Consider the following 14,014-nt stretch of genomic DNA (forward strand, 5'->3'; position numbering starts at 1 on the left):
GGAAAGGAGAGAAGCTGCAGGCTGGGAAGATACTTCAAAGAGGTGTCTTTAAATGAATGAACAGCACAGCTATATCATAGGAAAAGCCATAATCTTCAACACTTACAGTATTAAACAAGAGAAAATGAAACTTTTCTAGCCATTCTGCTCCTAAGAAAAAAAGAAACAGAATGGGAGAATTAAAAATATAAATAGCAATTAATAAATAATAAAATGAAAAAATAACACTTTGAAAAAGAGCTTAGTTTTTGAAAACATGTTTAAACAGATATGTTTCTAGGTAGTTTAATTCAATTGGAAAAAGAAAGAAAATGCAAATCAGAATAGGAATAAATGAGATGATAGAACCACAAGTTCAAAAGGATACCCAAAAGAGAATATTACAAACAATTCCACATTCATAAAAGTGAATATTATAAAATAAATGATGAGCTCAGAAAATAAGAATTAATAAAATGAGCCCAGGATAGAATGTTGAGTCTATAACTCTGTAACCCAAATCCTAGGCTAGAAGTTAATGAAAGGGCTAAAAAGCACTGAGCAAGTTTCAGAGATCACTTAGTTATCAAGGAACAGATAAGCTCTCTCCCGCATAACCTTCTGTTTCTTTTTTAAATAAAAATTCATTCTAGCAATTTGTGGGCTTACAATTTGAAGAGTATTCTCCTCTCTCTTGGAGTTGGTTTTCTCACAAAGAAATGCTGTTGATACAGCTACCTTTGAGGGAAGAGTTGCCATAACAGGTCCAGCTGCTCACCCCTTGCATATCTCCACAGGAGCCTCAAACCATGATTGCTGTTGGGCCAAACTTTGGAAAGATGACCCTCCAGAGGCTCTTTATATTCATGGTTGGTGATTCTGTTATGTACACCTGGAGCAATACTCCATGACATGCCAGCTTGCGATCATTTTGCACAAACGTCAAGATTAACGATGTGCACCTCATTCATTGTCGGGGTCCTGAGATTTGGTTACTATAGCTGGGCACATGGCAGGATGTGCCTGCATATCTAGCCCTTCATATAATGGCAGACCCTGAGACTCAAACAGGCTTTTCCTGGCCAGTGGTTTCAAACACGTCCTGGTAGTTCACTGCTGGAGGGAGCACACCCTGTGCAACTCAGGTGGTGAAGGACTCAAAAGCTTATGGCTACCCTCTCCAGACTGCTTGACTTACACCTTTTTCCTATTGTTCTTGCTCTACAGCCTTTTAGAGGAATAAAGCCCAGTTGGGAGTCTAACATGCTCCTGAGTCTTATGAGTCCTGTTTGTGAATTATCAAGCATAAAGGTGGTCTTGAGACATCCACACATGCACACACACACATACACACTCATGAAAAGAAAAAAAAAATTTCCAAGATTAGAGCCCACTCTTATTTCAGAGCATGTTGATATTCCATTTTATGCATGTAAATACACAGACACGTAAACCCAAATACAATTTTGGGCCCATGAAGGAGTGAAAGGGAAAGCCAAAGAGGTTAAAGAAGATGTCTGCAACCAACATTTGTGTACAATCACTAACAAAGTGTACAATATACAATGAATTTCTACAAATTAATGATAAAATGCAGGAAACCTAATAGGCAAAGGATTGGAACATGCATATCACACACAAAAAATATTCAAATGGCTAACAGAGGAAAAGATACTTAATATCATTGGTCATAAGGGAACTGGAAATTACAACTACAATGATAGGAACAGCACGCCTACAAATCTGTGATGTGAACAAATGTGGAACAGAAATAGTCCTTCAAGACGGAGCTCAAGTGGCCAACTAGGTCTGAATTTAAAATAAAACCCAGTAGCCATTTGCTGACTAGAGGTCACACGAGTACTGTGACTTCCTGGAAAGCCCACCCTTTCTAACTTTGGGGCTTGAAGAGCTCTCCTGGGTCAACCAATCAAAACACAATGGGATTGATTCATCAGAGCTCAGTTGTATAAAACAATCAGGATGCAGCCATGTCACCCAATCAGAACTAAGTGAGTTTCAATCCTTCATTTGCATAAATATACCTGATTGGGACCCTAGGTGGGATTTTTGCTGTAAAACCCTAGACTTCCTTTTGTTCTCTGGAAAATACCTTTGTTTCACACTGAAGGCTGGTGCAAATTATTCACTGGAATAAAATCTCTTTCTTCCAGATTCCTTTTCGGAGAACTTTTGTTCACATTTATAGTGTCAGAAGCGGAATAAGAAAAGAATCCTGATTTTTCTCCCAGCACAGTCCTTAACAAACTCATTTGTGCCTCCAAGAAGTCCTTGAGCTCAGTTGTCTTAAATAATTTCAAGGAACAGTACTCACTGTTATTTTAGAGTATTTTGATATTTCATTTCATGCATGTAAATACACAGACACACAAACAGGATTACAACTTTGGGACCATGAGGTGGGGGTAATGAGGGTCGAGAGGTCCTCTGGTAAGTCTTCCCGAATTCATACCTTCCATGCTTTGGATGAGGTCTCAGAGACTATTTTTTCCCCCATAGGTCTCATCTATTGGAACCTCAAAGAGAAACTTCTTTTAGCCATGGGCTTGGGTAAGGGAGCATTCTCAGCCAGTCCCCCCATCTAGACTGCAAAGGGGAAATTTCCTCTTGACCCCAAGTTTAGGAGGAAGCCTTTCCAGCCAGTTCTCTCCATCCAGACGCTGGAGAGGACTTTCCCTGTTGGCCCAGGGTTTAGCAAGGGCTTCTCAGTCAGTCTATGCCAGTCTATAAGGTTTTGTGGGGATGCTCACAGTAAGGGCACTGAAAGGAGCAAGTTTGTCAGGTCACTGCAATGAGTAGGCCATGCTTTCAGTTCTTCCTATCTGGTCAGCTGCCTTCTGGCACTCCAGCTGGATTTACGAGCCAAAATTATGGTTTGAGGTGTTGTAATTGGCTAAGTCTCTGGACAAAAATTACCCAAAATAATCTGAAACTTTACTGGCCAAAGTGGGACTCCTTTAAAATTCCAAAACTTGCCAGTCTACACACACAACTGGAAAAAAGAAAATACCAAACCTCCCAGAGACAATGGGAAGCCTTTTTCAGTTGGTACTTTGAAAGTCCTCAATGGAATCAAGGCAGTCATCATCTCTCTTCGGGAAAATAACTACAAAGTGAGTGAGCACATTAGTGAAATAGAAAGATTAGCGCTTGCAGGACCAACACCAAAGCTGTAGAAACAACATTGAAACCATTCTTCCACTAGCTGCCTTGCCTGTTGCTCTACCTGTCTTCTGCACCTTTCTTCACCAGCTTTATCCTTCATTCCCTCCTTCCTCTTTCAGGTTTTCACCTAGTTATTTTAAGAAAAGGTTCTAAACTATTTCTCTAGACTCATCTGTGTGTTTTCTTGTCCTGTGATGAATTCCTGTGATTTATGTTACTTTGGCATTAATTTTAATCCTCCTCTAGCACACGCAGACTCCTTGTTGAGAAAGCTTAAATTCTTTCTGTATTTGAGATGTAAATTTGCCACCCTCTTTTCTCTAAAATTTGGTAAGGGATTTTGCTATGTGGGACAGATACATTTCAACTTACTTTATTTACAGAAACGCTGGTTGAATCTAACTGTCTTCTAAACAAGGGGGTTTTACCCGACTCATGGCTCAAGTTTTAAAATAAAAGCTAAAAGATCATTACTTGTGCCTACCTGTATTTTTTTGTGTGTGTGCATATACATGTCTGTTAGTATATTGTCTACCAGATTGGCTTCTAAAAATGAGTACTCATAAATTAAGCAAATAAGTCAAAATGCTTTTCAAGTTCATATCACTTAGTAATTTTTAGGTGGATAAGACTAGTCTAATATTGTTTGTTTGATGAGAATGGCTATGTCTTTGAGTTATCAGAAAAATATGCATATATTTAACATTAAGGTTTTTAATTTTATTATACTTGCCTGCCATTCAGTAATATAAAGTTGGTTGATAGAAAACAGCTTGAGATTATGCTAGATTTGCCTGAAGTATCATGAAATTTTCCAGGCATAATTATTAAAAATGAATAGATGGGGTGGATGCAGATGGGATAAAAATTTTTAAATTAACTTTCGGTAATGGTTATGTTTTGTAATATGTTTACTTAGGAGGGCTTCTCCAAATCTTTTTAGTAACTATAGCTATAGAATTTTTCTGAGCTAAATTAAATGGTTAATATTCATTGCATGTCTAGATCATTTAGAAATAAGATAATACTAAGACACTATTGCTAAATATGAGTTTAGGCTTACATACTTTTGGCTTCTTAATTCAGAAGAACAAGAGTTCTTTGGATCTGTTAGTAAAAATGAACTTTTTCATATTAAAAAGATGTTCTGTTAGAAAGCTTGTGTCTGTTGAAATTGTAAAACGTGTATTCTTGGATTGTCGGTATGGCAGATTTTCACTGAAAATTAGAGTTGCTAAGAAATAGTATGGTGATTAAAGTGTGTGATTAAGCTATTTAGGGCAGAGGGCATTCTGTTTGCAAGTGTATGAGGAGGGTAGAATGTGTTTTTTGATAAGGAAGGTTGAAAAGAAAAGAGAAATGAGAAAGAACCTTGTGTGACACATTTTTGTCTTACAGTAAAATGACTGGTTATTTAAGAAAGAGGAAGTATGGAACAGAGAAGAAAGTCTAAGCATGTCATCAAAGGTCTAAGTAAATCATAAGCTGCATGAAAAGAAAGTTGATAAAAGCAATTTTCTGTGCACTCAGGTTGGCTACAATTGAAAAGAAATCGTATATGAGTCTTTCTCAGGATTAAACTTTGATGTTAAAAATACACTGATACAGAACTTTAAAATTTGATCTCCAGTATTAAAACAAGATTTTCTTAAAATACTGATTTGCTCTTAGTAAAATTGCAAGAGGTTTTAATTTTTAATTTGCAAATCTGTTCCCTTAATAGTAATCCTCTAAACTACAAACAGTTTCTGTTTCTGGCATATTTCCTCCTGAGATCTATATAATTTTCCTGTTTTCAGGTTGTAAATGCAGCTCTCTTTCTCTTGGTCCTTGAAAAGGTAAATTCTTTTTGCGTGGCCACAATGATAACCATCTCCTTCAACCTTTTTGTCATCTCCTGTAACTTTTTCTCTTGTTCTGACACTGCTGTCATGGCCTGATGCTAAGATGTTTATTTTGAAGATCTAGAAAACCAAAGTTTTCCTTCATTGTAACTTGATTTTACACTCTTGGCTTTTCTTGATGTGTCTGAATTGTTCCATGTAACCAGGAAGCTTCCTATGCTATTCCTAAGAACCAAGGATTTCCATGTTCAACGTACTAGTTTTCTTGTTTACATTTCTCTATAATAGCATATGCTTAGAATTCTGGATACATTCTTTCTGTGCCTGATTAAATTCAAATACCCTTCACACCAGGTTTAACTTTCAGGTTATGCAAATGGGCTTTCCATAAGGAGAGGCAATCATACTAAAGGAGGTTTGTTTCCCCTTTACCTATTAGGTAACTGGCCTAGTAAACTAAGAGTCTGTGTTTTGCTGAGATCATTCCTTTGCTTCATGTTGTTTTTATTAGGCTTTTGATTACTTGGGGAAACTGAACTTTAAAAAGTTCAGGGTTTTCACATCCATGTAAATCTGTATTCTTTTCGAAGTCTTCTGATTATCACTTTGCTTATTTAGGAGTGACATATGATTCTGCTTAATCAAGTATTTTGAACCTTTTGACATCTTTGGCAGGTTTCCTCAATATCAAAACCCTAAATTAAGCCTTTTTGATCTTGAAGAGATACTAAATGATTAGGCTTATTTGGCAAATCATATGGGAAGCATATCAAATAAGAAATGATGCTTAACTCCCTTTAAGTTATATTTATATAAATATGTTACTAATATGTGTTCCAAATTGCATGAGATCTTAAAATTCCAAGATGTTATATGATATGGTTTAGATTTGTGTCCCCAACCAAATCTCATGTTGAAATTGTAAACCTCAATGTTGGAGGTGCAACCTGGTGGGAAGTGATTGGATCACGGGAGCAGGTCCTCATGAATGGCTTAGTACTGTCAACTTGGTACTGTCCCCAGGATAGTGAGTTCTTGTGAGATCTGATCGTTTAAAAGTGTGTAGCGCCTCCTCCTGCCCCAGCATCTTTCTCTCTTGCTCCTGCTCTGGACATGCGAGACATCTTCTCCCCCTTTTCCTTCTGTCATGATTTTAAGTTTCCTGAGGCCTCCCCAGAAGCCAAGCAGATGCCAGCATGATGCTTCCTGTACAGCCTGCATAAGAATGAGCCAATTCAACCTATTTTCCTTATAAATGACCCAATCTTGGGTATTTCTTTACAGCAATGCAAGAATTGACTAATATATCATAATATGTGTTATCAGTCTTGAGTATGATTATTTAGTTTAATGATTGTATGCCACAAAAATACCTAAATTTTCTTTTAAATTTTCTTGCAATTATTTCTACATTATTTCTTACAATTTCCTTGTAAACTCTCATCAGAGTTTTGATCATAGCTGTTCTGGATTTTTCTCATCCACGATTATTGTTTTAAATTCTTCTCTAGAAGCATTTGCAATCAGCTATAGCCCAAAATTACTAATTAAGGAAAGCAAAATTAATTAACCGAAAGTAAGTAGTTGATAAGGATAACTTTATGACTTTTATTTAAAATGTTGGTTCTACACTTAAATTTTTTTTCAGATTCAAGGAATTTTTCTTTCATTAGTTATAGTTTGCAATAATTTGGGGAAGTATACTTTTATGAACAAAAGTGGAAGCATTTGCCTTTCTCCCTACTTGAGTCCTCCAAAATTCAGACACTATTTGTGAGCATTCTTATTTTATTTCTGTAAGTTCAGTAAAAATCTGCTCTCCCTTTGTAAGCAGGATACTATTGGAAATACTGATTATATTACTAGGCTTTGATTGAAAAGTCATATTTAAGAAGGGTCATCACATGCCTGGCTTCAAGAGTTCCCAGCCTTACAGTGAATACATAAAACTTGTCACTTCCTGGTAGGCCCAAGAACCTTAAGACCCTAAGTAAAATCTAAAGCCTGCCTTGATTTGGCTTCCTAGCCTCTAGAGGTTCTAAAACCTGAAAGTTCCTGTATGATTAATGTGGAGAGAAAAAGTCATGTTCTTAAGAAAAACTAACGTGCACCTACTTTAGGTTAAAGCCCTATGCACTGTTTTCAAGTTCTGGTTTTCTACCTGTAGACTGGACTGGATCCTGAGTTCTCCTAATTTCCTACAATATCTGGATACAGTTAAATCCTGATAAAGTTTACCAGCCCTCTTCCCTCAAGCAAAACTATAGAGCCTCTTGGGACATTTCCCCTACTCGAATTATTCAACTAGGGGAATTAGGTATTAAGATTGGAGAAAACTCATCAGAGCTCTGGTCAACACTGGGGCTACTCTGTCCATCCTTAACCCCAGCATGCTTTCCATGGACCCTCCCTGGAGTTCTGAATTCATCCAGATGGTTGGGGTAGCCAACCAACCTATGATGGTTCCTAATCTTCACCTATTCTTTTCCAACTAGTACCCCTCACGGGCAGTTGTTTTTCCTTTGGGCTTCCATACACTTCCTAGGCAGGGACTTCTTAGAAACATTCCAGGCCCATATTTTATTCTCCCAGAAAGGAGAAATAATGCTTGAGTTATCCTCACCAGGAGATTTGGCCATGGAAATACCTTTTACCCAAATTCCCATCTATTCAGTTATCCCCAACACTACCTGCCCTGTTCTCTAACAGCTATAATCCAACACTCATGATAATCCCTCAGATTATGAAGATAATAGTTGTGGATACTCTCAAGGATATAATTCATCTAGAAGGGTTAACCCTAGAAGGAGCTAGATTAGGAAGGTTTTTCCGGTCCCAATTTAAACTAGATTCTGCTTGGAATTCATAAATGATCAGAAACCCTTCCTGAACTGTTCGCAGGATTGCCTGCTCTACCACCCAGGCCATCAGGGTGCAACAGAGGTCCATAGACTCCCTTGCTCGTGTGGTCCTAGACAAACACATTGCTTTAGACTATCTCCTCCCTGCACAGAGTGATGTTTGTGCTGTTGCTGCCACTTTCCACAGGGTAAATACTTCCAGGCAGGTTGAATTTGAAACATCTAAGATCTTAAGGCTAGCCAAATCTCTGAAAAACAGCTTCAAAAAGCCTCCTGGCTGGACCTTCTAGGTTAAGTTTCTGATCTCCAGATATTTCCAGCCGGCTTCCCCTGCAGTAGGGTTCCTTCTGCATGCCACCCTACAAGTCTTGATCCTCCTTATGTTTGGGCTAAGCATTTGGAGCCTCTTTAAGATTTTCCTAGCCTATTTTAACAGATGCCTGCAAGAGACCCCCACTAGGATCGTGCTGACCTAACCTTTGAGACTTCAAAGGTTGCTCCAGCCAGAAAGGGGAACCAAGTTAACCCAAAAGAATTTGATTCAAATTTAACAGGTGCCTGTATGCCTCTCATGATCACATGTTTATGAAGAAGTGAGATCTATCCAAAAGTGGTTTTCAATTGTGCAAGACCATGGCATGAGAGTTTAAGAAACTTTGGGCTGAGATTTCAAGGACCTGAGACATATCTACTGTTGAATATTTGGTAATCATTAAGCATACAATTTTGCAGATGTTAAATGTTAAGTTAAACATGTTTAATTTTTTTTAAGTAAAATAAATCATTTCTGTTTCTATTCAGAATATGACAGTATCAGAATAACAGGAGCTAACCCTAACTGAACACTTAAAGTTTGCCAGGCACTATTCTGAATTCTTCACAAAAATTAGCAGTTTTACTCTGCACAAAAATCGCCTGAGATACGTTGCTTTGCTGATGAAGAAATGGAAATCCAGAGAAATAAAGTCGCTTACTCAGTCACCCAGCTACATGATTTGTGGCTCTGGAAGTTCAGCTACTAGGACTCTTCCAACTTCCTACAGGTGTCACGAAAGCACAAGACCACACACTTACACACAGTTCTGATGAAAGAGGGCTAAAAGGAAGATTTCAGTAAAAAGGTCAACAAGGCTTTCTAAAAAAACTGTAAAGGTAAATAAATGATGTGTCGCAGTAATTCTCACCAATTAGGAAGCATCTTAGAAAAGCATTGGATTTCCTCTAGTTAAAAACATCTATAAAAAGTGATATCAAAATATAGGAAGATGTAAATATCTAAATTTTAACACTGTCACCTTGCATAAATTAGGCTGAATAGCTGATGGAATAAGACCTAAATTCAATTTTGTTCCATGCCTTTTTACTGTGATCTGAAAGGGGTCTTGAGGTGAATGATCCTGTACTCATCCTCCACCAGCCAATCAGTCTGTTTATTATTTGGCTTTAAAAAGAAACCCCTTCACCATGATGGAGCAAAAACTGTTACTTGGCTATGTCAAGAGAAAGCAATGCAACAAGTACAAAGCGTGCTGATTAATGCACCTTGTCTATCTCTATCAGACAGAGAGCTAGATATTGATAGAGACTGCTATCCTCATGTGTAACTACATCAAGCTAGAGAGACTGTTATAATACAAGTGGACTGAGGCAGCCGTGAGCAGAGAAACCAGGAATGCTCGCCCCGATCTCTAGTCTTCAGTCTTGGCCCTGTTTCAACTTTCAGTTTCACATGTGGAAAAATCGAAACTCTAACTCAGCTGAGTGTTAGTCAAAGAAGGTGTGTCCTGCTCCCCAATGACAGGTTGCTCAGAGACTGCTGATTTCCATCCCTATATAAAGAGAGTCCCTGGCATACAGAGACTGCTCTGCTCCAGGCATCTGCCACAATGTGGGTGCTTACACCTGCTGCTTTTGCTGGGAAGCTCTTGAGTGTGTTCAGGCAACCTCTGAGCTCTCTGTGGAGGAGCCTGGTCCCGCTGTTCTGCTGGCTGAGGGCAACCTTCTGGCTGCTAGCTACCAAGAGGAGAAAGCAGCAGCTGGTCCTGAGAGGGCCAGATGAGACCAAAGAGGAGGAAGAGGACCCTCCTCTGCCCACCACCCCAACCAGCGTCAACTATCACTTCACTCGCCAGTGCAACTACAAATGCGGCTTCTGTTTCCACACAGCCAAAACATCCTTTGTGCTGCCCCTTGAGGAAGCAAAGAGAGGATTGCTTTTGCTTAAGGAAGCTGGTGAGTACATGGTCCTAGACAGAAATCAGGATTCTCAACCACTGGGCAGTGGGGTAAGGCGAGAAGGGGCTGGGGGTATGCACAAGCTGGAGAGCTTCTCCAAAGCTTGAGGTCACCATTTACCCTTGCATGGTGAGCATGTTGTCCTATGAGAAAATAATTCAGTGAATTTTGGAGTGGGCACCTAGTCCTTCCTAAATCACAGAATTGGGCTGGAACAGGGGATTTGTGGAGCAAACCTGTCCCTCCTGCCATTTGGAAGCAAGAAGGGGTCTATGCAAAGGGCAGGTCCCTATTACACTTGGTGTTTGGAAAGAGGCGGTTTGGGAAGTTTGTACTACTTTCTGAGTTTGCCCACAACACTAACGAATTTGGGTTTTCCAGAAACAGTTATTAATAATTAGAAAAGTTGGAAACAAAAACAAAAACTTTGACATAAAAATAGCAGTAGTTGAATCTTATATTTGAGTTTGTGTATATTCTTTTAATAGGAAACCTTAAAATTTTTTTAACAAATATGTCAAGGACTTAGCCTTCAAGAATGCTTACTGAGCATCACCACATTAGTAACTGGCAGCGTCTTGGAGAGAACTCAGCACGTGACCTTCGAATGCAATATCTTCCACTCCAGATCTGTTCTGCCTTCCGTCCTTGTCTTCCTGTCTTTCCTAGAGTACCTTCTCAACTAGTAACTTCAGCAACATCTCTAGCTTCTTTCCCTCCTTGTTTAACTTTTTAACAAAAGCATAGCATACATGCACCAGATTACACATATTCTGGATGTGCACCCTGATGAATTTCACAAAGCAATCACAGCCAGGTAAATAGCCTGCAGATTCAGAGAGAAAGCATCACCAGCGCCAGAAGTGCATGCTGCACTCCAGCCACTACCCTGGTAAGCACTTGCTGGACTTCTAACACACAGATTCATTTTGCCTGATCCTGTACTTTATATAAATGAAATCATACAGTGGGTCCTATATTGGATCTGACTTCTTTGCTCCACGTTACATTGGCTTAGTTACCCAAAGCTGATTGCTCAAATGAGAACCTGACTTCCCATTCCCAGTGTGGCTTAACTCAAATTCCTATCATTTCTCACCAGGATTACTGTAATTCAACTCACTGTCTCTGCTTGCCCCATTGAAAACTCCTGATCTTTTTTTAAAATGTACTTTTGGTGATTTAACTCCTAACTCTCCTTCTTATGAGCATCGTTGTCAAGGCCCCTGGCAAGCTCAATGTTGCTCTCAGCCTCTGCTACCCTGATGGCTTGGGTCCCCTCTGCTGTAGACACAGCCTGTCACACTCATTTTCTCCAAACATCAAAATTGTTAAAATGATGGTCATATTGTTGTCTCTTCCTAGAATGTCTGTCCTCAAATCTTGTTGGTGAACTTTCAAAGTTCCTTTGAATTCTCCTTGATCCTCTGCAGCCATAATTATGCCCTTTACTTTTCACTTATGAGCTTATAGCAGTTGGTACAAATATGTCTTGCAGCTTTTTAAAATGTACTATTTTGTTCAGTTTTTTTTTTTAATGTCTGGTTCCTCAAAGAAATTGCATTCCAAGGTTGAATTTTACCCTCCTGTGTGTCTTCATGCCTGACAGGATGTCTAGAAAGTAATAGAGGCTTAAGAAATGTTTTAGATAAATGAATGAATGCATGAGTGAGTGAATAAGGAGATATGTCGAGGGAAATTACGACTTTCATTCAGAAAGCCAGGGTTTGAGTTTCTGCTCTAACATTTACTAGATTTGTCAAGACATTTAGCTTTTCTGAGTATCAGTTCCATGATCTTTAAAATTATCTTTAGATAATAATGATAACTGATAAACCAATCTCAAAAGTTGGTACAAGGCACAAACAAGTGAATGTTCATGTATTTTTGTCATAAAAGATAAATTATTATTAATAGTTATAATTAATACTTTTATATAATAACCTCTCAGTTTAAGTAAGTAAAACAAAAGTTAATTGAAATGCTTACATGATAGTGTAGGTTGTATTTTCCTGTAAGAGAGATTTCTAGATAATGGAGGAAAACTATTTTTTTGGTTGTAAGAATTAAAGAAAGAGGAAAGAAACACAAAAGGTGGCTCCACAGTCAAGGACAGGTTTATTTTAGAGAAAAAAAACCTGAGAGGGGCTTCTGGCTGAGTTAAGTCAGAGCCCACTCTCTTACAGACTAAGAGTTTTAAGGATTTGGCGTGGGAGGGTTTATTAGAGACTTGGACTGCTTCTGTTTCTCTTTGTTGTGCTTATCTGGGAGGGAGAGTTGTGTGTCTGTTCCCGTACATCTTCCTGCAGCTGCAGGCATACCCACCCTGAATCTGCTTTTAGCTTCCCTATCTTAGAACACTAAAGAGAAACTAATGTGCTTATTTAGGCCCACTGTTTTACTGGGACCCATTGTATGACAGTGAAGTTTGGCAGTTACCTAAAAGACTTCCCCTCAACCTCCCTCTGTGCTCAAGCTGTCTTGTCTGTGTTTTACTGTCTGCTCTTTCTGGCTGCTTGTGGTTAGAAGATAAGTGATTTCCTTGAAATGCATGAGGCTAGAAAGGGAGCTGGAACTTAAAGTGGTGGTGTTTGTCTGAGATGATGGTGTTCTTGATCTGTCAGTGGTAATTAAAGGTTTAAATTCACATTGAAATTTAAATTTTAATATATATTTTTATATATTATATTTAAAATTAAAATTTACTATTCTGGCTAAAGATGCTCCTAAAATATATTATTTACTTTCCTGGCTTTTAAACTGTTTTGAAATTCTATTCAGAAAGACTGAATAGAATTAAAAATAATGAGCATCAGATCTGGGCTGTAATATGATCACTCATGTATGTTAACACTATTGTAAATAAATTACTCCTTGTCTAAGATATTAATTATGCCTCTAAATTCTATTCCTTCCCTTTTGTTATTCTTCCATCCCTTCTAAATATACTCCTCAAAATTGTTAGCAGTTTTGTGCCACTGGCCAGGACCCTGTCTTACTTTCTCCAGTTTATCTGCCACTATATCACATCACCACACTTCTTAGGTAATTATGTTTTGTTTTGTTTTCGGGTTATAATGAGTGTCACTCAAACTGCCTCCCAGCATGATGGATTATAAATAGGGAGGTGATATAATGCCTCACTGTCCAATCATAGAGACATCTGAGAGTGAAAGGGGGCACTAAAACTCACTCACAGATACTGTTTCATCTACCATAAACCAAAACTGTTCCAGGCACACCAGCCTGGAGGCTTCTCTACTTATAAAGACTCTAGGCTTTGGAGTCTAGGCATGTACCCTAGCTCTACTTTTCTCTAGCCTTATGATCTTCAGCAAGTGTTTAACCTTTCTTGGCTTCAATTCTTCCACTAAAAACCAGATAATAATTCCTTCCCCATGGGTTATTTAAGGGTTGAAAGCTTTAACCATATTACCTTGGGTGATGTATGGTGAGGCCAGATACAGATTAATAGAGACAAGAAAGAGGTTTGCACGGGTTCATTCTCCTAGAATGCAGGCAGGCAGGTGTATGACGCACAGGCCCATCCTTCTAGAATGCAGACTGGCAGGTGTATGTTGCAAAGGTCCATCTTCCTAGAATGCAGGCAGGCAAGTGTGTAACGCATAGATCCATCCTTCTAGAATGCAGGCAGGTGGGTGTATAACGCACAAGCCCATCCTCCTAGAACGCAGGCAGGCAGGTGTGTAATGCATAGACCCCATCCTCCTAAAATGCAGGCAGGTGGTTGTGTAATGCATAGACCCCATCCTCCTAAAATGCAGGCAGGTGGGTGTGTAACGCATAGACCCCATCCTCCTAAAATGCAGGCAGGCAGGTATGTAACACATGCAAGAGACATGTTTTCTTCTCTGAGAAAACAAAATGACCCCAGAGTAAAGACCAAGG

General features: G+C 38.8%; 1 protein-coding gene across 2 annotated transcripts in view; it reads left to right on the top strand.

Annotated features, from left to right (window-relative positions):
- RSAD2 (radical S-adenosyl methionine domain containing 2) overlaps positions 1 to 14,014 on the top strand; it is a 32,355-nt gene that overhangs the window by 2,160 nt on the left and 16,181 nt on the right. Inside the window, exon 1 of one of the 2 annotated variants that reach the window (NM_080657.5) lies at positions 9,733 to 10,102. The exons of the other annotated variant lie outside the window; for it this stretch is intronic. Within the exon in view, the coding sequence (NP_542388.2) occupies positions 9,757 to 10,102 (346 nt within the window). The 5' untranslated portion in view covers positions 9,733 to 9,756. Of the gene's footprint in view, positions 1 to 9,732; positions 10,103 to 14,014 lie in introns of those variants that run through there. 2 annotated transcript variants of the gene reach the window in all.

This window comes from Homo sapiens, chromosome 2, assembly GCF_000001405.40.
Source record: "Homo sapiens chromosome 2, GRCh38.p14 Primary Assembly".
In the NCBI taxonomy this organism is placed as follows: Eukaryota; Metazoa; Chordata; class Mammalia; order Primates; family Hominidae; genus Homo; species Homo sapiens.